Below are 22,881 nucleotides of genomic sequence, written 5' to 3'. Positions count from 1 at the left end.
CTGAAACCTGAAGGAATCAAGGTCCTAGGGCCAGGCCAGGCCCCGGGTGGGAGGGGGCTTAGCATGGGATGGGGCCCCGAGGCTGCCTGTGCCCAAAGAAATTGACTTGTGGGTCCCTCACTCCTCTGCCTCCAGCCTCAAGTCCATGCCCACCAGGCCACCTCCCACGAGCCCAAGGTCCTGCCCACCCCGAGCTTGTCCTGGTCACACTGCCATGTGCGACACAGAGGCGGCACCCTGCCTGTCATAGGCTATCGTCAGCCCTCAGAAGGATTTGTTTGGTGTTTAACAGAAATAAAATTGAGATCAGTGGCCAACCATTTTCACGCAATTTATCAGATTTTCATTGTCTCTTGAAAAATCAGGGCATCTGTAGGCAGTAAGCAACAGAGCTGCATGTCAGCTGTCCCTTCCCCACAGGGCCTCGCGCTCCAGGTGGCCATGGCCCACATCTTGCCCAATCACCGACTGAGGTACTTGCTGATAGGTAGGGGCGCCTGAGTGTGTGACCCTCTGGCCACTTTCTCCCTTACCACAGACTGGTGTTTGACGTCTATGGCTGTGTGGGTACCACAAAGGGAGAGGGGTCTAACTCTGGGTCTGACCATCTCAGGTGTTCCCATGTGATTGTATCTGTGCCCTGCAAACCCCGGAGGCCCTGGTTTTACCACGTCCACCTACCAGAAGACCCACTACTGCCATCTATCACGGCTCGGTGAGGTGCACAGGACTATGCCGCCAGGAAAGGCAGAGGAGAGGGAAATGTCCTCCCGCCTCCAAGTATACTTGTCTCACATTCCACATGAGCTCATCTCACCCTCACAAAATCCCCGCAAAGAAAGTATGAGCACCCCAATTTGCAGATGAGGAAAACTGAGGCTTGCAGAGGCAAAGTGTCTTGTCCTGGGCCCCACAGCTGGTAAACACTGAGGAAGGGATTTCAATCCAGAGAGTTCTGCCGAATGAGTGCAATGTGAGGGTCAGTTCCAAGGGCACTTCACAGCGTTCCGCAGGGGACCTGTGGTCAGTCCCCAGAGGGGTTTGCAAGGGCGAAGACCATTCAGAAAGGGTGGCCAGGGTTGGACCGCTACATACCACTTTCCCCTGAAGACTTGGAGACTCTTTCTGCACACCATGAACATACTCTTGGACCCAGCAAGACATCAAAACACGCCAAATATCACCAGGGTTTCCCAAAGTTCTTAAAGGATACTTTAGGTAATTCTATATGTTGGTGTGAAAGTGGGAGGGGAGAGAAGATCTAGTGAAGAATAATAAAAATCAGCAAGAAAAATCAGCAAAGCAGGATAGCACCATGTGAGGTGCCAGGCTCTGGGACCCCAGCTCTGCACCTCACCAGCTGTGTCCTGGGCCACTCCCATTCCAGCTCTGTGCCTTGGCTTACCATTTTAAAACTGAATAAAGAAAACATTAACGGAGTGAAAACGCAACTACAGAATGGAAGAAAACATTTGCAAACCATACACCTGATAAGGGGCTAATATCCAGAATATATAAGCAACTCCTTAAACTCAGTGGCAAAAATAAACTTCTATTTTATTTTATTTAATTTTTGAGACGGAGTTTCACTCTGTCACCCAGGCTGGAGTGCAGTGGCACAATCTCGGCTCACTGCAACCTCCGCCTCCCGGAGGTTCAAGCAATTCTCCTGCCTCAGCCTCCCAACTAGCTGGGACTACAGGCGCATACCACCATGCCCAGCTAATTTTTGTATTTTTAGTAGAGATGGGGTTTCTCCATGTTGGCCAGGTTGGTCTCGAACTCCTGACCTCAGGTGATCCACCCACCTTGGCCTCCCAAAGTGCTGGGATTACAGGTGTGAGTCACCATGCCTGGCCAAAAACCCTCCAATTTTAAAAAGCACAAAAAATGTGAATGGATATTTCTCCAAACAAGACATACAAATGGCCAAGATCTTGAAAAGATGCTCAAAATCTCTATTCATCAGGGAAATGCAAATAAAAATCACAATGAAATGGCACCTCATACCTGTTAGGATGGCTATTACCAGAAAAACAAAAGACATGTTGGCAAGATGTGGGGAGAGGGAATGCTTGTACACCGTTGGTGGGGAGGAAAGATAGTGCAGCCACTATGGAAAACAGGAGGAAGATTTCTCAACAAATTAAAAATAGAGCTACCATAGGATCCAGCGGTCCCACTTTGGGGTATTTATCCAAAAGAATTGAAATCAGGATCTCAGAGACATCTGCACTCCCATGCTCACTGCAGCATTATTCATAACTGCCAAGATGTGGAAACAACCTAAATGTCTATTAATGGGTAAATATTGGTATATATACACCTTGAAATATTACTCAGCCTTAAAAAAGGAAATTCTGTCATTTGTGACACCATTGATGAAACTGGTGGACATTACGTTATGTGAAATAAGGCAGACACAGAATGAAGACTGCATGATTCCACTTACATGAAGTATCTAAAATAGGCAAATATGGTGAAACCCCATCTCCACTAAAAATACAAAATTAGCTGGGCTTGATGGTGCATGCCTGTAATCCCAGCTACTTGGGAGGCTGAGGCAGAATTGCTTGAACCTGGGAAGTGGAGGTTGCAGTGAGCCGAGATTGCGCCATTGCACTCCAGCCTGAGCAACAAGAAGGAATCTCCGTCTCAAAAAAGAGGGTGCTCTGATGTTAGGTATTCTTACCACACAAAAAATAACCAAATTAATAGTATGACTATAAAGTGACAGCATGAGATGTGAGGGGTGATAGAGATGGAGCTGTCCTGTATCTGGATGGTGGTGATTACATGATAAACAAGCCTTAACTTTCATAGAAGAGTGCACAAACACACATTAATTTTATCATATGCTAACTTTAAAAATAAAACAAAGAAAATAAATCATGAATCATTGTATCTGTCTGTAAGGCCAGTGTGATTTTATAAGTCCAATGACATGCCTAGCCCAGTGCTCAAGACATTACAAGCTGAAGGGCCGTGAGGTATTGCTAATAAGATGAGCATTACTTCTCCTCCTCCAAAGATATTCAAGACCCAGACCAGAATCTGAGAAAGGAAAGCTAATGCATGGAGGGGCTATCACAACGCCAGTCCCCAGTACATCAGGGACATCCGGGTCCTCTGACTTTACTAACTGTAATTACAGCCAGGCCTCTCATCTCGAATAGGGTTTCCACCTTTTGGAGAAACAGAATGGTTTGTCCATTTCAAGCGGATCTGCCTTCCTGTGTAGCTGTGCTGCCTGGCAGGTGCCAGGAGGAAGGCTAATTGTCAAGGGCATGAGGATTACGCTGTCAGAGGCACCAGCTGTTTCCCAGCATTTCTGAGGGTCGGTTTCCCTGGACATAAAACAGGAAGGATCATGCCCACTCAGAGGGAGAAGAGGTATCTGTAAAGGACCCCACATGTCCCCTGGCTCTTGGCTGTATGGAGAACCCTGAGTTCACCCTGCCTCTCCCGTGGGTCAAGATTTTTTTTAAACAAAGACAGCCAGCGTTGGAGGTTTTTTTCCTGTCCTGTACTTTTCCCACATATACAATCAATGTAATTAAGTTAATAGACCTAAAAGTTAAAGCTGACAACAGACAATTAGGCTAATTGCCACTTCCTTAAAGGATCAATTAGGGCTGTGTTTCCCAAACTGTGTTTTGAGAAATGGCACTAGCTGCTCCATAAACAACAGGGCATCTGAGACTATACATGTGGCAAATGTTGGGCTGAACCAAATAACTCTGGTTCGCTCAGTGCCGGACTCTTCAGAGTCCTCAGTGAGGCAGCCAGTGCGGCATGGAGGGACACAGACTGGAGGACACTGAGTCAAATCAATCATACAGACCAGGGCTTTATACATTTTAATGAATACATGAATCACCTGGGGATCTTGTTAAAATACAAATTCAGATTCCAGGTGGGCACTGAGATTCTCCACTTCCAACAAGCTCCAAGGTGCTGCTGAAGCTGGCATCTGGGACTGCACTTTGAAGAGCAAGGTTATTAGTAGAAAGTTACGGCCCCTTACTGTCCACTTCACTGGTGGGGTAACAGAGTTGCCGAAGGTCATGCAGGAGTGATGGGTGGGACGGGAACTCCACGCCCCAGCCTCCCGAGGCAAGGCTCTCCACCGCCACCCGACCTGGCTCCCCTGCTGCTCTCAGCCCTGCTTGCTATTGCTTCTCCCAATTCAGAGCACTTCTCCTCCGTCTTGGCTGTGCATTAGAATCACATGAGAGACTTTAATATACAGCCAGGGTTGAGGCTCACTGATTTAGATGTACCGGGTAAGCCTCACCCCAAATACCCTCTTCACACCCTGCCTGTCTCTCCCACGCCTGACAAAAACTGGCTAGGAGTAACTCCAAATAAAATACGAAAGGATTACCAGATGGGGAATGTAACTTAACCAGGACACAGCTGGCTAAAGCCCTGTCTCCTGCTACTACAGCACCACAGTCAGGAATCCAAACGGCCTTGGGAGGAGAGGACATTCCATCTCATTCCATGTCCCCGCGAGCAGGTAAACATGATGCTCTAAGCTGGAAAACCCCCACTGGTCAGCGTGGGAAAACTGAGCCCCTCGAGGGTGATGCCATTAGCTGGTGTGAGGGTCTTTAAAGACCATTTCAGAATCAGGTATCACGCTACATGAGGCTAGGGGGAAAAAAGTTGATGGCTTTAAGCTTCTTAATGAGCACTGTTGGGTGAGGATTAGTGAAGAGAAACCCAATGAATCCAATTAGAAGAGTTCTCAGTTCTCTCTGAATTTAGTGAATGGAAAAGAGAAAGCTTTAGAGATGAGCCTACAGGACACAGTGGAGCTCTGGTGCCAAATGGCAGTGTTCCAATCCCAGCTCCAGGAACGGGAACGACCGTGTTTCCGAACTCTGTGGCACCTCCACTGGCTCACCTGTAAAGTGGGGTAACAACAGCACCTCCCTTGTAGGACTGTGGAGAATTAAAGGGGCTGATACAGTAAGATCCTTACAACAGTGCCTGGCACTAGCAAATGTTCAATAAACCCGAAATACTGGCCTTTTCACATAATTTTCTCTCTGGTCTAATTTTTATTTTCTTTTTGCCCTGATTTTTAAGGCTATATGTGTATGTGTATGTGTGTGTATGTGTGTGTGTGTGTATGTGTGTGTGTGTTTTGAGATAGGGTCTTGCTCTGTTACCCAGTGTGGAATGCAATGGCATGAACATGGCTCACTGAAGCCTCCACCTCCTGGGCTCAAGAGATCCTTCCACCTCAGCCTCCCAAGAAGCTGGGACCACAGACGCACATCACCACACCTGGCCATTTTTTTTTCCCCATAGAGATGGGGTCTGGGGTCTTGCTATGTTGACCAGCTTGGTCTTGAACTCCTGCAATCCTCAAGCAATCCTCCCACTTTGGCCTCCCAAAGTACTGGGATTACAGGTGTGAGCTACCACACCTGGCCCATATATATATACTTTTTTTTTTTTTTTTTTTTGAGACAGAGTCTCGCTCTGTTGGCCAGGCTGGAGTACAGTGGCAAGATCTCAGTTCACTGCAACCTCCGTCTCCCGGGCTCAAGCAATTCTCCTGCCTCAGCCTCCCGAGGAGCTGGGATTACAGGTATGTACCATCAAGCCCGGCTGATTTTTGTATTTTTATTAGAGACGGGGTTTCACCATGTTGGCCAGGCTGGTCTCAAACTCCTGACCTCAGGTAATCCGCCCACCTCAGCCTCCCAAAGTGCTGGGATTACAGGCATGAGCCACAGCGCTCATTTTATATTTTTTAAAACTTGCTGTAAAGTATATGTTCTTGTCAGCTTCCTTGGAATTCTTTCTGGAAGAAACAGCAGGGTAGAAATACAGGCATTCATGTTAGCTACTCTCTGCTGAATGTTAACTCTGTGCTCAGAGGTCCCTGTGGTGGCTGAGGCTTAGCTTGGTGTAGGAACTGATGGGGCTACCAGGGTCCCATTCCCTATTGGGGCCTAAGGAATTAAGACTGGGCCAGGTGCAGTGGCTCATGCCTGTGATCTTAGCACTTTGGGAGGCCAAGGAAGGAGGATGACTTGAGGCCAGGAGTTCAAGAACAACCTGGCCAACATAGCAAGACCCCATCTCTATATAATTTTTTTTTAAAAAGGAATTCACACTGGATCCTTAGAGCAATGAGACCCATTTGAAGGTTGAAATCAGGACATGAAAATATCAGATCAACTTTGGAAAGCTCACTAGGGAGTCCTGAGGAGGTCTGGGGTATCCTGGAGGGAGAAAGACCACTCAGAAGGCCAGAGTGAAAAATGGTAGAGGCCAAACCAAGGCCCTGCAGCAGGGCCAGCCCCATCAGGGCCGCATGACCTGTGCAGGCACACAGGGTCACACACTCAGAGGGGGGTCCATGCTTGGCTGAATGCGCTGCTGCTGCCGTCCTGAAATTCTTAATACTTTTTCAACAAGGGACTCCACATTTTCATTTTGCACTGGGCCCCACAAATTATGGGCCTCATCCTGCATTGCAAGTTGCATTGCACATTGATCCTGCAAGTGTGCATTGATCACACTTGCCCCTACATCTACTCTACCAGGTGAGGCAGCGAAGTTTACATCCCCTCCTTAAAATGAAGAAATGGAGGCTCCGAGAGGGGAAGTCAATGGTCCCAGAGCACATCTGGTCAGTGCCAGTGCAGCGGCACCCCCGAGGCCTTGGGTTTTCAACATGGGGGCTGTCACTGTGGGACAGCAGCCACCTGCACCTCCCGGAAGGCAGTGCTCAGGCACCACTGGGCCTGGGCACAGGGCTTCCGGATGCTGTTATCTTCCCTCCTCACCCACCCTGGGCTGGTGTGCAGAAGGCAGCAGGTGCTACTGGCCCCAGGCCAGCCGGAACTCGAAACAACACACACGGATGTGGGTCACAAGGCTAGTTCCACAACTGCAACAGCCAGCCATTAGTGAAACAATTTAACAAGAGCAAAGCAAACACAATAAATCATTGAAAGCTCAGCCTCCCTCCCCTGCGTTCTGCCTCCTTCCTTAACCCCAAAAACAACCTAGGAACGGCAGATTCAAGGGTGGAGAGGGGAGATTTCTCCACTAATGGCTGAAAATCTGCCCACTGAAGCTGGCATATCAAGTCACGTCATGTCTATGGCTTCCTTGACAGATTTCAAGAGGCATCTCCAAGGATCGAGTTTGGCTCAAGCACAGTTCTAGGTGCTGGAGATGCAACCTTGAAGAAGCCTGATAAAAACTTCTTGCCCTCAGGAGCTCATGTACTAATGGGAGGGAGAGAGAAGCAGCATGATAATTAAGTGAATTATATAATGTGTTAGGAGATGATGGGTGCTTAAATAAAATGACACAAATAAATATGGCGGCCAAAATGGATGAGGCGCTTACTCTGTGTCTAAATGCTTTCCGCACTGCCTCATCCCTCAACTGTTCTACTTCGGTGAGTACTCTCCTCATTCCCATTTCACAGACAGGAAAACACAGAACTCAGTTGCACCAGGCTCTACAGGCAGTAAGAAAATCAGAAGTATCCGTAGGGAAGGGCAAGAGTGCACTATTTTTCCTGCTTCTGATTTTAAGAAGGGGAACACGAGCAGGACGGCTGGTTTTCTCCCTGGCCTTGAACTGGGGGAGGAGGTCTAATCACGGTATACCCCTCTCCACTCCCCACAATTCTTAAAAGAGCTGACAGGATGGTGGGCCCCTCCAATCTCTCCCTTTTCTCCCAGATCTAAGGCTTTGGAGCTAACAGCCCCAAGTTCAAATCCCAGATCCACCAGCTCATGCACTGCATGGCCAGAGCAAAGGGCTTCTACTCAGTGGAGCTCCCCTCTCCTTTGATTTAAAATGAAGATTAAAACTCCCTCTCTCAGGTGACAAGGGAATCGATGTCTGCACCCCAAAGTGTGTATACAGTGGTAGATGCTCCTTGCGTGCCAGTTCACGCACACCCCCACTCCTGGGACCCCATAAGCCCTCCTCCCTTCTCTTGGAATGCAAAGAGAGCCGGACCACATGCCACCCACCTCCTCACGGTGGGGCCTGTGGCAGAGGGCTGAGCATGGACTGGACACTTGATGAATGCTTGATGAATGCACACTGAAGCGGAGGAAGGTGCATGGGGATGGTCGAACCCTCAGTAGAACCCAGGTCCTGGAGCCTTGAAGTTCACAGAGCTTAAAGAGTGCAGGTTTGCTGGGCACACATGGCTCATCCTCCAAGGTGCAAACGTGAAGCACTGAATCCATTCTCACCATTCCGCAGTGAGCCCAAGCCCTGAGAGTATTTCCTAGTTAAGCTGGGCCCCCTGACACCTGGGCACTCAGGGACCTGAAGTATGCCAAGGGAGCCCCAGACTAGCCAGCTTCTCAGAGCTGAGCATTTCTCTCTTTAAATATCAATGCCTGACACAGGGCCCTTCCAAGGCCAAAGGCTAGAGCTGGCCTTACCCATTTTCCTTACTTCCCTTACCTGCCCCCACAAGCCACCAATTCAAGGAGCACAAGGTTGGGAGCCATGTGTGACCTGAGACCTAAGTCTACCCTTCCCATTTAGCACCCATAAAGTCCAAGATAAGGCCCTCATCCCTGGAGCCTCATTTCCTCCTTGGTAAGACGGAAGGGTGAGGTGCAGGGAGAAAGGATTAAAAGATCAAAAACAGCAATTTCCCCAGCAAGCTCAAAATCACCGGAACCTACTGAATCACACAGGGGCAGGGGGCGGCGGTGGCACGAATCCCTATGGTTGGCCTGGGTAAGGGGAGGCTTTGTGGAACCAGAAATTGATGTGCCGACCACAGCTCTTATGGCCCAGACTTAACTGATGCTATTAGGACTGACCTTGAATTCCACCAGAGGGGCTGTCCTTGTTCAAAACTGCCTAGGTCTGCTAGCCTCAGGGCTGCCCGGCAGGGGCAAGAAGCCGGCAAACATTTGCTAGCTGGTATCAGGGACCCGGACAGGCTGGAAAACCATGTCAACCAATCAAGAGGTCCAAGACCAGTGTCCTCTTTGGGCCTAAACCCCAATATATCCCATGCTATGGGGGTCATGGCAGGCTAAGGGCCTTTCTCTCTGGGTAGACTGTCACTTTACACTGCCTTCACATGCAAGAAGAGGGGAAGAAATACCTCCTGTGGCACAGGCATCTGAATCACTATTTTGTGGATGTGGAAAACCCCTCCTGGAGAACACCCCCCATCCACTAATGCCCTATTTCTGAGCTCTAAATCATGCCAGACTCTGCTAAGGGTGTTTCACGCACTCAGTCGTCACAAGCGGAGACCTTATTTTTAGCCCCAATTTGCAGGTGGTGAAACTGAGGGCGCTCGGAGACTTGCTGAGGTCAGCCAGCCGAGCGGCGACAGGGAGTTCTGAACCCAGAGCCTTTGCCCCTAACTTCTAGAATATACCGAGCTGTTCAGTAGAAAGGGCAGAGCCAGGATTCTAATCCAGCTCCTCCCTGCATTAAAGCCCTGCTCTTTTCCCAGCCAGACACCAAGTGTGGCTGCCTCAGGCCAGGACATCCCCTGGGGCTCCACACCTCAAGGGAACCTCTGGTGGAGATCTCTTCCCCCGCAGGCTTCCAGAATGCCCCATGCAACCTAGACCATGAGGCAGCTGGACCCCACAAAGGACCCATTGTGGTGACTGCAGAAAGCCAAGGCCAGACCCCGGTGGCCCTTCTGCAGAGTCCTGCCCAAGGCGCCTCCTCCCCTTCCCATGGTGCCCCCATACCCAGCGGACAGGGCTGGGGCTGAGGGAGGGAGGGGCGGGGGCAGGCCTCCCGATCTGCCCGGCCTGGGGGAGCCTCAGGCTATAGAAACTTAAAACCCTCCAGCTGCCGGCAGGCTGCATGGGGCCCCAGGCCCCTCCGGACTCATTCCAGGTGCCCTGCCCCACCTGTCAGCTGAGGTGGGGTCCACCAAGGAGGCTCAGTAGAGGGAGGAGAGGGATGCTGGGGTGTTATGGGCTGTTCCCATCTGGGAGGAGGGAGGAAATGTTTCCTAGTGTGGGGGAGGGGAATGCAAGGTATCCGGGCAGGCTGGGGAGGGGGCTCGGCGGAGGGAAGGTGGGTGGATTTGTCTCCCGCTGCACGAGGGGGCCTCCGCGGCTCTGGCTGGCTTCGTGTGCGGCAGGGGGGGGGCTCGCCTGGGGTCCCTAGGGGCCTGCGGAGGCATGCACAGGGCGGGGAGCCGCTTTTGCATGCAGGGCGGGAGGGGTCCGCGGCGTGCCGGGGCGCTCCCTCTGCCCGCTGAGGGAACTCCCGACTGGCCGGGGTCGCCACACTCACCTCCTGAAGTCAAAGGGCATCGTGCCGCCGCCGGGGGTGGGAGCGCTGCAGGCCAGGCGGGCCGCGGCGCCGCGTGGGTCCGAGCCCGCTGCCAACGCCTCCTCCGGCCGCCCCGCCCCCGCCGGCCGCCCCCCTGACACTCGCCACTCGCCACTCGCCACTCGCCTCCCGCTGCCGGGAAGTGACGCTCCGCGCAGCCCATTGGGCGCCGCCCGCCCGGCCGCCCCTTCCGCCACCCGGTTAAAGGGGCCCGCGGGCAGGCAGGGAAGGGGCGGAGAGTCGAGGCTGTCGGAAGGGAAGGGAGTCCCCCAAAGACTCCAGTACTCATTCCTTCAAGCCTCCCACTTAGATTTCCTTCTCCATCTCTTTGGATGCCCTCGGACAAATTCTCTGCTTCTCCGAGCCCAGTTTTTTGCATTTGTAAACAGTTTCACTGAACTGTGATTGAGTTGGGGGCGGGGGGCGGGGTGATACAGACTTTGGCCGTGCACAGCGTCTAGCTCTGAGTGAGGGCCTAATACTGTGGGGGAAGGGAAGAGGTCGGCCATCCTAGGCTGTTAAGGTGGACTCACCTCTGCCCCTGCCGTGTCTCTCTGGGAAAGCCACTGGGCTTCTCAGAGCGCCCCCCCCCCGCCCCGCCCCTTTTGCATATCTGCACAAAGAGGACGATGACACCTACTTGAGGGGGTTTTCCTGGGGATCAGCTGAGAAACAGGAGACTGGCTTAGCACAGTGCCAGGCACCTGAAACTATTGAGGCTGGCAGTGGCTGTCCCTGCTTCCATCTGCCCCTGTCGTTCACTCCAGTGGGCATTCACAGAGCATCTGCTCTGAACCAGGTCCATCGAGAACATGCAGGGTTGTGGCAGAGGCAGATGGGACCTGCACTGTGACTTGGCCAACGTGGACTGTGCCGATTGTCTCCTTCTTAGAGCCTCAGTTTCCTCCTCAGGAATACAGAGCAGCTGCCTCCGTGACTGCTGGATTAGAGGAGATGGTAGTTGAGGTCACACAAGACCTGAGTAGGGGAAACTCACTCTGAACTTCCCCGAGGTTCTGTCACTGGCCCTTTCTCCAAGGTTGTGGTGGGACAGGGCTTCAAAAAACCCAGGGGAGAATGGTGAGGGCTCGGGTTCCAAAAGCAGAGTCAATGGACAGTTTCCCCCTGTGTAAATAGAGGGGAACAGCAGTGCTGGTTCCTCCGGGAGGATTCAGAAGGGACAACACTAGCACGGGGTCTGGGGTAGGGTGACGTGGTGAACCAAAGCCTTCCCCTAGAGCATATGCCGGGACCTGACCTCTGCGTTCCCTTTTCATTCATTCACTCATTCATTCATTCATTCATTCAGTGTCAGTGGTCTGACACTGTTGGGGGAGAAAAGGAAATCTCAGCCTGAACTGGAAACCTAGGGACAGCAGGGAGAGTTAAGGGATCTTGAGCAGCCACTGCTTCCAAACAGCCATTCGTTGGCCCTGTGTGGGAGGAAACATGCAATGATGGATCTTTGACCTCGAATCCTCCCTCCTCAAACTGTGGTCCACAGACCAGCCACATGGCCATCACAGGACAGACTCTTGTCCCCAGGCCAGACCTACTGAATCAAGTGTGCATTTGGGATGATATCCAAGGTCAGCAAATGCCTGGCACAGAGTAAATGCAAGACAGGGTTGACTATCATTGCTCTTTTCGAGTGGGGATAGAGCTCCCAACTTTTGGCTGGGCATGTGGGTGCTCACAGTGAAAGTTGCATTTCCCCAGCTTCCTTTGTAGCTAGATGTGGCATTGAGAAGTAAAGGGAAGTGTCTTGTGGGGCATCTGGGATAGTTGGTATGTCTGCTTTACCCTCTGTGTCCCTTTCTCCATCTGGCTGCCAGGAATGTAGGCGTCACCATCCTGGACCATAAGGTGGAGGCCACCACAGAGCAGAGCAACAAGACAAAAAGAGCCTAAGTTCCTGCCGGGCACAGTGGCTCACACCTGTAATTGCAGCACTTTGGGAGGCCGAGGTGGGCGGATCACCTGAGGTCAGGAGTTCGAGACCAGCCTGACCAACATGTGGTGAAACCCTGTCTCTACTAAAAATACAAAAATTAGCCGGGCGTGGTGCCACACGCCTGTAATCCCAGCTACTCAGGAGGCTGAGGCAGGAGAATCGCCTGAACCTGGGAGGCAGAGGTTGCAGTGAGCCCAGATCACACCACTGCCCTCCAGCCTGTGCGACAGAGTGAGACTCTGTCTCAAAAAAAAAAAAAAAAAACCTGAGTTCCTGTCTCTAAGTGGCAAAATACCTGTCCTCAAACACCTGCCCAAGAGAAACAAACATCTATCTTATTTAAGCTATTGTTATTCTGTATTTTCAGACACTTACACCTAAACCCAATGCTGATACACCTATGCAGCCTGGCTAGCTACTTGACTGCCCCAATGCTCATGGACTAGGCCAGTCCCCTATTACATAATCGCATGGTACCTTGTAGGTTTCCTTGGGAGAACTGGGCATGACGTGTGATTAGGTTATTATTAATTCGCTAGTAACTACTACCCCATCTGAGTGAAAGTTCCCTGAGAGGGGCCTGTCGGGGGGTAGGGGGCTAGGGGAGGGATAGCATTAGGAGAAATACCTAATGTAGATGACGGGTTGATGGGTACACAAACAATGATGCCATACACAAATGGCACGTGTATGCCTGTGTGACAAAACTGCACGTTCTGCACATGTATCCCAGAACCTAAAGTATAATTTAAAAAAAAAAAGGAAAGTTCCCTGAGACAAGGTGGTATCACCATCATATCCTAGCATCCAGCCAGACCCTGCACATGCTGGGGATGCACTAACTATGCGTTGAAGTTTGAATAGAGGCTTCCCAGGGAGGCAGGCCTTCCCACGGAGGCAGGCCTTACCAACAGAACAGCGGATGGGAGGGGAGGTATCAACATGGGCCTCCGCTGTGGGACTGGTGAGGTCTGTGAGCAGACCAGGCTGTCAGTCCCAGATGGTCCATCCACTCAAGAGCCAGTGGGAGATGGAGCTAAGAAAATCAGATTGTGTCTGCAGTACGTGGGAAGGCTCTGGGTCTCTTTGAGCAGGGAACAACAATACAAGTTAAGTTTTCGGATTATCAATCTTGTGGAAGCCTGTGGTAGGTAGCCAGCCTCCAGTGACCCTGATCTCCTGGTATTCCCATGCCCTTCTAGAATCACCTCCCACAATGAATAGGGCTGACCTATCCTGTGTAATCAACAGGATATTGCAGAAACGACAGTTATGACTCCTGTGGCTACGTCACAAAAGACTGAGGCTCTGCTTAGCCACTCTTGAATCACTCGTTCTGAGGGAAGCCAACTGCCTGTCCTAAAGAGGCTCAAGCACGATTATAAAGGGGCCTGGTCGGTGAGGAATGAGGCCTCCCACCAACAGCCATGTGAGTGGGCTCTCTTGGAAGTAGCGGCTCAGCCCCGGTCAGGGCTTCAAAGCTGCATCCCCAGCCCACAGCTTAACCACAGGTTCTTGAGAGACCCTGAGAAACACCCAGCTCAGCTGCTCCCGAATTCCTGATCCATAGAAACTATAAGATAATAAATGTTTGCTTTAAGCCATTAAGTTGTGGGTAATTAGTTACACAGCAGTAGATAAATAACAGAGACTCCATCCTCATTATTTTTTTTTCCTACCAGTAACTTCTCCCTGCCTTCCTCCATCTCACCCCCCGCCAGCCTGGGGAAATAGAAAACCACTTTGGACTCAGATCACTCTCTGCTGGGTGACCTGGACCAGTTGCTTAACTAGCTGGGTGTCTAGGTATGAAATGAAGGATAATAATACCTTACCTGTGGCAGGTAGCCTCTGAAATTGTCCCAATTAACCCACCTCTTGGTATTCATACCCTTGTGTAATTTCCTCCCTTCAAGTGTAGGCTGGACTTATGGACTCATTTCTAATGCACAAAATATGGCAGAAGTGATGAGCATGTTGCTTCTGAGATTAGGTTATCAAGAGATGGTGACTTCTGTCTTGGACACTCTCTTGCTATCTCTTGGATCAGTCACCCTGGATAAGCTGGCTTCTGTGTGTGGCTTCTGTGCCCTAAGGAAAAGCCCCTGTGGGTGAGTTTGCAAGTGATTCTTCTAAGGCAGGGGTGTCCAATCTTTTAGCTTCCCTGGGCCACGCTGGAAGAAGAAAAACTGTCTTAGGGGCCGGGCGTGGTGGCTTACGCCTGTAATCCCAGCACTTTGGGAGGCAGAGGCAGGTGGATCACGAGGTCAGGAGTTTGAGACCAGCCTGACCAACATGCTGAAACCCCGTCTCTACTAAAAACAAAAACAATTAGCTAGGCATGGTGGCGCATGCCTGTAATCCCAGCTACTCAGGAGGCTGAGGCAGGAGAATTGCTTGAACCTGAGAAGCAGAGGTTGCAGTGAGCAGAGATGGAGCCACTGCACTCCAGCCTGGGTGACAGAGGGAGACCCCGTCTCAAAAAAAAAAAAAAAAATAGAAAAATTGTCTTGGGCCACACATAAAATACAGTAACACGGGCTGGGTGCGGTGGCTCACGCCTGTAATCCCAGCACTTTGGGAGGCCATGGCCGAGCACCTGAGGTCAGGACTTCAAGACCAGCCTGACCAACATGGTGAAACCCCGTCTCTACTAAAAATACAAAAAATTAGCCGGGTGTAGTGGTGGGTGTCTGTAATCCCAGCTACTTGGGAGGCTGAGGCAGGAGAATGGCTTGAACCCAGGAGGCGGAGGTTGCAGTGAGCTGAGATTGCGCCATTGCACTCCAGCCTGGGCAACAAGAGCAAAACTCCATCTCAAAAAACAAACAAACAAAAAAACAGTAACACAAACAATAGCTGATGAGGAAAACAAATCACAAAAAATCTCATAATGTTTTAAGAAAGTTCAAGAATTTGTGTTGGGCTGGATTCAAAGCTGTCCTGGGATGCATTCAAAGCCATCCGGGGCCACAGGCAGCCTGCAGACCACACATTGGACAAGGTTGAGCTAAGGCCTGACAACAACCCTGTGAATGAATTTGGAAATGGATCCTTCTGCTCCAGTGGAGGCTTGACATGACCACGGCCCTGGCCCCCAGCTTGACTGCAACCTCGTGAGAGACTCTGAGCCACAGGCAGCCAGCTGAGTTGCACCTGGATTCCTGTGTGATAACAAATGTTTGTTGCTTTAGCCCCTAGGTTTAGGGTAATTGGTTATGCAGTAGCAGATAACAAATACATTGGCCTAAGACAGAGCTTGCTGTGAGGATGGAGTAACATGTATAGTGCCCACACATAGTAGGTGCTAATTCATTGCTTGTCTAATGAGTCAGTCAATAAACAAATGAATGTTCTATAACACCGAATGTTCTCTGAATCCAAATGTTCACTCCCTTCCACCCACTCCCGTCCAAAACATCACCAAAAGTTGTTTTAAGCAGAGAATGGCTGGGTCAGATTTGTTTTTCTGTAATGGGAGATGGGTTTGTGTCCCATGGGTGCGGCCGGTTCATCTGTGGTCTGGGTGAAGAGAGATTTAAAAATAATAATCCTTTGTCAGCTCAGAGAGGACTTTAGTGTAACTTAGATCTCATAGCAGGTAGGTCTCTGGAGAAACAACTCTCCTTTCTCACTCTATTAAAGTCTCTTGACCAACTAGAAGACACTCATGTGTTCATTCATTCATCCTTTCTTGTATTTGTTCATTATACCATTATTCACTGAATACCTCTTTTAGGCAGATACTCTGGATGTAGAAATGAACCTGACATACCTCAAATTTCAAAAAAGAAGGGAGGAGGTAAGCAAAAGTGTGATACCATCACAAAAAAATCAGGGACAGGGAAAGGGTCACGTATCTCTGGTGCAGTTTTTTGTGATAAGTGCAGTGACAAGGGTGGTACCAGAGGATCTGGGAGTCTAGAGGGAGTCCCTGATTCCACCCGTGGGGATGAATTGGTCTGAACTCTTTCAGCTGAAAGTGACAGAAATCATCTAAAAGCAACACACACTGTCTATGGCACTCAAAAAAAAAAAAGAAAAAAGGAAGGAAGGAGGGAAGGAAGGAAGAAAGGGAGGGAGGGAGAAAGAAAGAAAAAAGAAAAATTAAAGTCCAAAAGTCCAGAGGTAGATTTGGATTTCAGGCACAGTTGGATACAGGCACTTCAACAATTGCATCAGGAATCTGTCTCTTCCCATCCCCAGGTTCTTCTTTGTTTTCCTCTGGCCTCGTCTTGAGGCAGGCTTCCCCTTGTGCTGGCAAAATGTGTGCCTGTAGCTCCAGGCTGATATTTTCCCACTCAGCAATGCCAGGAGATAAAGATTACCACTTCCCCCGTACCTCCTGAAAGGCTCCTGGGCTGACCCCCAAGGGTCTGGCTTAGGTCACAGCCTAAACAGTGGCTCCAGGGGTTTGGAGAGTGCTGATTGGCCAGGCCTAGGCTGGCAGCCAGGCCCTCAAACCTGGGGTGGAGTCACCCTCATCCTACACACACAGACTCAGATGGAAGAAGAGTGGTTCCCTAAAGAAGAGTCTGGGCAGTGCAGCCAGAGAAGGAGGTATTGGGAGGCTAAACCATCAGGTGTCTTGGACAGAGTCAGGAAAGCTTCTGGGAGGAGGAAGAGTCTGAGCTGAGACCTGATGAAGAAGTTAGTCAAGGGGAGAGAAGCAGGCTGGGTACATTAGTTATCTATTGCTGCAAAACACGTTACCCAAAATTTAAAACTTTAAAACAATACACAAGGTCTTAGTCCATTTTCTGTTGCTATACAGAATACCACAGACTGGGGAATTTATAAGGAAAATAAATATATTTCTTACAGTTCTGGGGGCTGTGGGAAGGGCAAGGCTGAGGGGCTGCCTCTGGTGAGGACCTTTCTCCTGTCTCATAACATGGTGGAGGGCATAGCATGGTAAGAGGGCATGAGCATGTCAGCTCAGGCCTCTCTTTGCCTTTTTCTTTTTTTTTTAGTAGAGACGGGGGTTTCACCATGTTGGCCAGGCTGGTCTCAAACTGGCGACCTCAGGTGATCCGCCTGCCTCGGCCTCCCAAAGTGCTAGGATTAACAGATGTGAGCCACCGAGTTTGACCTCTTCTTCCTCTTATAAGGCCACCAGTACCATCAGGGGGACTCCACCCTGATGGCCTTATATAATCCGAATTACTTTCCAGAGGCCCCCACATCCAAATACCATCAACACGAATTAGGGGATTAAGTTTCTAATACATAAAATTTGGGTGATGGATTTAAACCATGGCATATATTTATTATGCCCCCATGTCTGAGGATCAAGAATCCAACAGCAGCTTAGCTGGGTGGTTCTGGCACGGTCAAGGCTACAGACTCTGCAGATGACTGGAGGTGAGGGATAGACACTCACTCACTTGGCTGTTGACTGGAGGCTTCAGTCCTTCTCACATGGACCTCTCCATAATGCTGCTCATGATATGACTTCCCCAGTGTGAGTTAGGAAAGAGAGTCTGCCTTTTATAAAGTAGTCTTCAAGGGACTGGCTACATACTGGGTAAGGATCCAAATAACATGGGTGGTGGGAGAGAGGACAGCATGGATGCAGCCTGGGCTAATATCAAGCTGGAGAGGTAGGGGCTGGATGGTGAAGGACTTTGAGGGCTGTGTTAAAAATGTGAACTTTCTCTAGTAGGCAGTTAGAGGCCCTGAAGCATTTTAAGTTAGGATGTATTGCAATAATTTGGTTTGGGGGTTTTGGGGAACCCAATATAGTTTCTCTTTTCTGCCAATGCTCTGAACAAATGTGATTTCTATCTGCAGAGGGCTTCCTAATGGTGAACCTCAGAATTTGGCAGACAGACCCACACAGGAGGCATAAAAAGCAAAGAAAAAGTACAGGCCTTCTTGGGGAGGGGAGAGCAAAATGCAGCTCCCTGCGGGTGGTCTTCTCCCAAAAGGAAGAAGAAAGGAAGAGCTGAGCACCACCATGTCAGACTCCAGTCCCACACTCACCAGTCAGAATTCATCCATCTTACCTGGTGGGGCTTGAGGGGAGCCCAGAGTATTGAGGGGAAATCCTTCTTTGTAGAAACCAGAGCAGTAGGAAAGAAGTATATCACCCACAATTAGGCCACATCATACCACCAACCATTTGCCATTTTTAGAAGCATGACTCTGGCAGCCAATGTGGAGAAGGGACTGGAGTGGGAGGCCAAAGAGGAGGTTGCTACAATCTCCTGAGAAGAGAAGGGGAGTAGGCCCAAGTCAGTGGGAGTGGGGAATGGGTCTGGAGGCAGTAGAACTACTCAGAAGATCCGGGGACTAGGGGGCTCAAACACAAGGGCTTACAGGGGCCAGGCAGTCAATTCCTCAAATTTCCCAAATTTTCCTTCCTCTCAGTCCAGGGCAACTCCATTAGTTTCCATTTGCCTGTTATCCTTACCATCATCCCTGACTCCTCTCTGTCTCTGCAGGGTCACTATAATGAGTATGAGTGTAGACTTGAGGTTCATTGGACTTATTGAATCTGTGGATTGATGTTTTCTCAATGCCCTGGAAAATTACCAACTACTTATTTGTGGATATTAACTTTGCCCCGTTATCTCTCTTCTCTCATCTTGCTTTTATTCTCTGTTAATTTTACATAGTTTCTTCTGACCTGTTTTCTAGTTTACTAATTCTCTCTTTGGTTGTATTGAATCTGCTATTAAACCTGACCATTGAATTATTAATTTTATCATTGTATTTCCCAGTTTTGGAATTTGTGTTTAGTTCTTTTTCAAATATGTGACTTCACTGTGCCAGGTGCCTTCTATTTGTCCCTCCAGAATAACTCTGCTTCTTCACCCTTTTCTGTGTGCTGGGAGGTTTCTTGACCTGTTTTGATGGCTCCTTATTTTTGGCTTCTGGCTGATTTCAGCCTGTGGGGAGTACCTGCAGTAGATTGGAAGGAAGGAGAAGAATGAAGTTTTGGTATGTATTTGCCCAGCTTCTGCCCTGAGTGGTCACCCAGGTTGACCGTGTCCTTCAGTGAACATCATAATTTCTACCAGGTGGTACTCTTCACCTAGGTCCACTCTTCTTAGTTCCAGTAACCATTTCTTCTCCTTCCCCTTCAGGCCTTGGGATAGTAATAGCACTCCACTGTTACTTACTCCAGGGTACTAGCTCTAGAGTATCTCTTGTAGTTTCCCTATACTCTTTTCATTCTGTTAAAAGCATCTGGCCAGGTGCAGTGGCTCATGCCTGTAATCCCAGCACTTTGGGAGGCCAAGATGGGTGGATCACTTGAGGTCAGGAGTTTGAGACCTGCCTGGCCAACATGGTGAAACCCTGTCTCTACTAAAAATACAAAAATTAGCTGGGCCTGGTGGCACATGCCTGTAATCCCAGCTACTTGGGGGGCTGAGGCATGAGAATGGCTCGAACCTGGGAGGCAGAGGTTGCAGTGAGCCAAGATCATGCAACTGCACTCCAGCCTGGGTGACTGAGCCAGAGCCTGTCTCAAAAAATGATGAAAATAAAAATAAAAGCATCGCTTAGTTAAACTCCCCTCTAACCACCTAGATTATGCCATCATATTCAGGACTAGACATGACTGACACAGTTACTTTGTATAGTTTCCAGTCTCCTTACAGAATTTTCAGGCATGACTTTTAATCTCCTTAAACATAGGAAGCATAATTATATTACAGTCAGTGTCTGATAATTTCCATGTCTGGAGTCCTTGAGATCCATTTCTGCTTGTTACCATTCATGGTGTATTTTCCCCTCATGAAATCTGGTTATCTTCGATTATGCGCTAAAAAAAAAAATACTGTATTTGGAAAAATATTTATAAAAATAATTTTAGGCCTGGGATGATTTTTTTAAAAATCCCTTTCTCCAGGCACCTGGAGCAAATCAGCATTCTAGGATCACCTTATTTCAAGTTCAGAGGCTGAAATGTACTAGCTTACCCAGATGACCTGAAGCTCAGGACTAGTTTGCTTTTATTTCACCCCTACTTCTAGGGTACAGCCCTTTCAGGGTCACCGCCCAAGCTAGGGAGGTTTACCAGGGTCATCAAACTGTGGCAGACCCTGACTCTGATGTCAGTCTCCCTGGGTTTCAAAATTCAGATCCAGAATCTGAGCCCTTTTAATCACCTCACATGACTGCTGTCCTGATATAAGCCATCATCATATCTCACCTGGGTCAGGCATTGCTATTCAACTGGTTTTCTGTGTTCAGCGTTGTCGCCTTCAGCCTGTTTCCAACACCACAGCCAGAACTGACCTTTTATCCGAAGTCAGACCATGTGCCTCCTCTGCTCAGAACATGCCAGAGGCTCCTGTCTCACTGAGAATAAACGGCAAGTCCTTACGATGGCCTGCAGTCTGCAGGGTCTGCCTCAGTGTGCTTCTGACCTCCTTTCCTGGTCCCCTCCCCTTGCTCACTCGGCTCCAGCTGCAGTGGCTTTTCACACCTCAAGCCAGCAGGGATGCTCCTGCCCCTGGCCTTTACACTGCTGCCCTCCCCCAGTGGCTGCTTGTCCAGCCCCCTCCTCTTCAAGTCTTTGCTCAAACATCTTTTCAGGGAGGCTTTCCTGGCCCCTTATTTTAAGTTACATACCTCCCCAACACTCCTGATCCCCATTTACCCTACTCTTTATTTTTTTCATAGCATCTATCACCTTCTAACATACAATTCCACTCATTTATTTTTCATTTACCTGTTTTGCGTGTTTTCTCTGTTCCCCACTAGAACCTCAGCTTCATGATGGTAGGGATTTTTTGGTACGTGTTTGGTTCCCAGAATCTGGAATAGTGACTGGCACATACACAGTAGGTGATCAGTAAAGATTTATTGGAGGAATGAATGTAAATCAGAGTGAAGTGATACCAGGGCCAGCAGGAACTTGGCTTTTGTGGCCCCCGTGTCCAGCAAGGCCAGGGCCAAGGAAGAGGCCTGTGTTAATGGGAAATTGTTACGTACAGGAGCATTGAACAATTAAGTTTATGTGTTGGGGATGGTGGGAATCAGGTTCTTACTTTGGAGATGGGAATTGCAAATACGGAAAAAAGGAAGACTAGAAGAGGCCTTGTCGTTTTGTATTGGAATTGGGGGTATTGGTGTGAACTCGTGGATTTTACCATGTGCATAGAGAGATGATAGATAGATTAGATGGAGAAATGTGTGTGTGTGAATATGCATATATCTTCTTAGCTCTGTCATCTAGGAAGCACTAGTGACATACTTACTGCCCAGATCGTGGTTTCTTAATACCAATCTCCATGTAATAGAACCAGGGGTCCTTGGAGAAGCACAGGTTGAGCATCCCCAATCTGAAAGTTTGAAATAAAAAATGCTCCAAAATCCGAAACTTTTCGAGCACTGATGTGATGCCACAAGTGGAAAACTCCACGCCTGACTTCATGAAATGGCTTGTAGTCAACATGTGGTCAAAACCTTGCTTCTGGCCTGGCACAGTGGCTTACGCCTGTAATTCCAGCATTATGGGAGGCCAACGCAGATGGATCCTGCCTGGCAAGAGATGAGGATCACTTGAGGCCAGGAGTTCAAGACCAGCCTGGCCAACATGGTAAAACCCCATCTCTACTAAAAATACAAAATTAGCCAGGCGTGGTGGTGCATGCCTGTAATGCCGTCTACGCAGGAGGCTGAGGCTCGAGAATCCCTTGAATCCAGGAGGCGGAGGTTGCAGTGAGCAGAGATAATACCACTGCACTCCAGTCTGGTTAACAGAGTGAGACACTATCTCAAAAAACAACAAGCCAGGCACAGTGGCTCACGCCTGTAATCCCAGCTACTCGGGAGGCTGAGGCAGGAGAATTGCTTGAATACAGGAGGCAGAGGTTGCAGTGAGCTGAGATCACACCATTGCATTCCAGCCTGGGCAACAAGAGCGAAACTCCATCTCAAAAATAAATAAATAAAATAAAATAAAACAACAACAACAAAAACCAAAACAAATAAAAATCCCCAAATTATTTAAAATATTGTGTAAAATTTTATTCAGCCTATGTGTATATGATGTGTATAAAACATGAATGTTTTATAGAAATTTCATGTTTAGACTTGGATCTCATCGCCAAGATATCTAATTATGTATGTGCAAATAATATTCTAAAATCTGAAAAATTTTCATGTTTAGACTTGGATCCCATTGTCAAGACATCTAATTATGTATGTGCAAATAATATTCCAAAATCTGGAAAAAAAAATCCCAAATCCAAAACACTTCTGGTCCCAGGCATTTCAGATAAAGGCTACTCAACCCGGAGCTGATTCTTCGGCTGGGCCGGGGGGAAGTGCCAGATGAGTCCGGAGCATCTTTTCAGGTCAGAAGTAAGGACATGCTCAAGGTATAATAGGCACGTGCATGTGAAAGGAAATGGAGCCAGCTTGAAGGAGCTCCCACTGGCCAAATATGGGCCAATCTGGGACAATTTCAACATCAAAACCAAAAATGATGATCATGGATGATTACACATGGAATAAAATAAGAATCTGGGTTTATACAAATATAAACAAGTAGATCGCTACATGGGGGAGAAGGGAGAGCTCTCCCTTGCAGTAGGATGCCAACTAAATAGACATAGAAGGAATGATGGAATTGGAAAACC

General features: G+C 49.0%; 1 protein-coding gene and 1 long non-coding RNA gene across 6 annotated transcripts in view, besides 8 other annotated features; one reads left to right on the top strand and one right to left on the bottom strand.

Annotated features, from left to right (window-relative positions):
- Positions 1 to 10,470, bottom strand: part of ERGIC1 (endoplasmic reticulum-golgi intermediate compartment 1) — a 118,433-nt gene extending 107,963 nt beyond the window's left edge. For all 5 annotated transcript variants that reach the window (NM_001031711.3, XM_047417410.1, XM_047417408.1 and 2 more), the window contains exon 1: positions 10,288 to 10,470. In NM_001031711.3, the coding sequence (NP_001026881.1) occupies positions 10,288 to 10,307 (20 nt within the window). In that variant the 5' untranslated portion in view covers positions 10,308 to 10,470. The remainder of the gene's footprint in view (positions 1 to 10,287) is intronic.
- Positions 3,851 to 7,371, top strand: LOC124901135 (uncharacterized). The gene is made up of 2 exons (XR_007059054.1): positions 3,851 to 4,522; positions 7,148 to 7,371. It is a non-coding gene; the product is annotated as an uncharacterized LOC124901135 (long non-coding RNA).
- Positions 7,740 to 8,731: an enhancer, noted in NCBI's record as "H3K27ac-H3K4me1 hESC enhancer chr5:172262993-172263984 (GRCh37/hg19 assembly coordinates)". NCBI's record gives its function as "activates a minimal SCP1, AML or CMV promoter by ChIP-STARR-seq in primed H9 embryonic stem cells {active_cell/tissue: H9 hESC(primed)}" and the evidence as "EXISTENCE:reporter gene assay evidence [ECO:0000049][PMID:30033119]".
- Positions 8,732 to 9,724: an enhancer, noted in NCBI's record as "H3K27ac-H3K4me1 hESC enhancer chr5:172262000-172262992 (GRCh37/hg19 assembly coordinates)". NCBI's record gives its function as "activates a minimal SCP1, AML or CMV promoter by ChIP-STARR-seq in naive H9 embryonic stem cells {active_cell/tissue: H9 hESC(naive)}" and the evidence as "EXISTENCE:reporter gene assay evidence [ECO:0000049][PMID:30033119]".
- Positions 9,028 to 9,237: an enhancer, noted in NCBI's record as "active region_23646". NCBI's record gives its function as "activates an Ori minimal core promoter by ATAC-STARR-seq in GM12878 lymphoblastoid cells {active_cell/tissue: GM12878}" and the evidence as "EXISTENCE:reporter gene assay evidence [ECO:0000049][PMID:35858748]".
- Positions 9,708 to 9,787: a silencer, noted in NCBI's record as "silent region_16629". NCBI's record gives its function as "represses an Ori minimal core promoter by ATAC-STARR-seq in GM12878 lymphoblastoid cells {active_cell/tissue: GM12878}" and the evidence as "EXISTENCE:reporter gene assay evidence [ECO:0000049][PMID:35858748]".
- Positions 9,798 to 9,847: a silencer, noted in NCBI's record as "silent region_16628". NCBI's record gives its function as "represses an Ori minimal core promoter by ATAC-STARR-seq in GM12878 lymphoblastoid cells {active_cell/tissue: GM12878}" and the evidence as "EXISTENCE:reporter gene assay evidence [ECO:0000049][PMID:35858748]".
- Positions 10,218 to 10,617: a silencer, noted in NCBI's record as "silent region_16627". NCBI's record gives its function as "represses an Ori minimal core promoter by ATAC-STARR-seq in GM12878 lymphoblastoid cells {active_cell/tissue: GM12878}" and the evidence as "EXISTENCE:reporter gene assay evidence [ECO:0000049][PMID:35858748]".
- Positions 20,208 to 20,707: an enhancer, noted in NCBI's record as "H3K4me1 hESC enhancer chr5:172251017-172251516 (GRCh37/hg19 assembly coordinates)". NCBI's record gives its function as "activates a minimal SCP1, AML or CMV promoter by ChIP-STARR-seq in primed H9 embryonic stem cells {active_cell/tissue: H9 hESC(primed)}" and the evidence as "EXISTENCE:reporter gene assay evidence [ECO:0000049][PMID:30033119]".
- Positions 20,708 to 21,209: an enhancer, noted in NCBI's record as "H3K4me1 hESC enhancer chr5:172250515-172251016 (GRCh37/hg19 assembly coordinates)". NCBI's record gives its function as "activates a minimal SCP1, AML or CMV promoter by ChIP-STARR-seq in primed H9 embryonic stem cells {active_cell/tissue: H9 hESC(primed)}" and the evidence as "EXISTENCE:reporter gene assay evidence [ECO:0000049][PMID:30033119]".

This window comes from Homo sapiens, chromosome 5 (genome assembly GCF_000001405.40).
Source record: "Homo sapiens chromosome 5, GRCh38.p14 Primary Assembly".
Lineage (NCBI taxonomy): Eukaryota > Metazoa > Chordata > Mammalia > Primates > Hominidae > Homo > Homo sapiens.
This window is presented reverse-complemented; position numbering and strand designations above follow the sequence as displayed.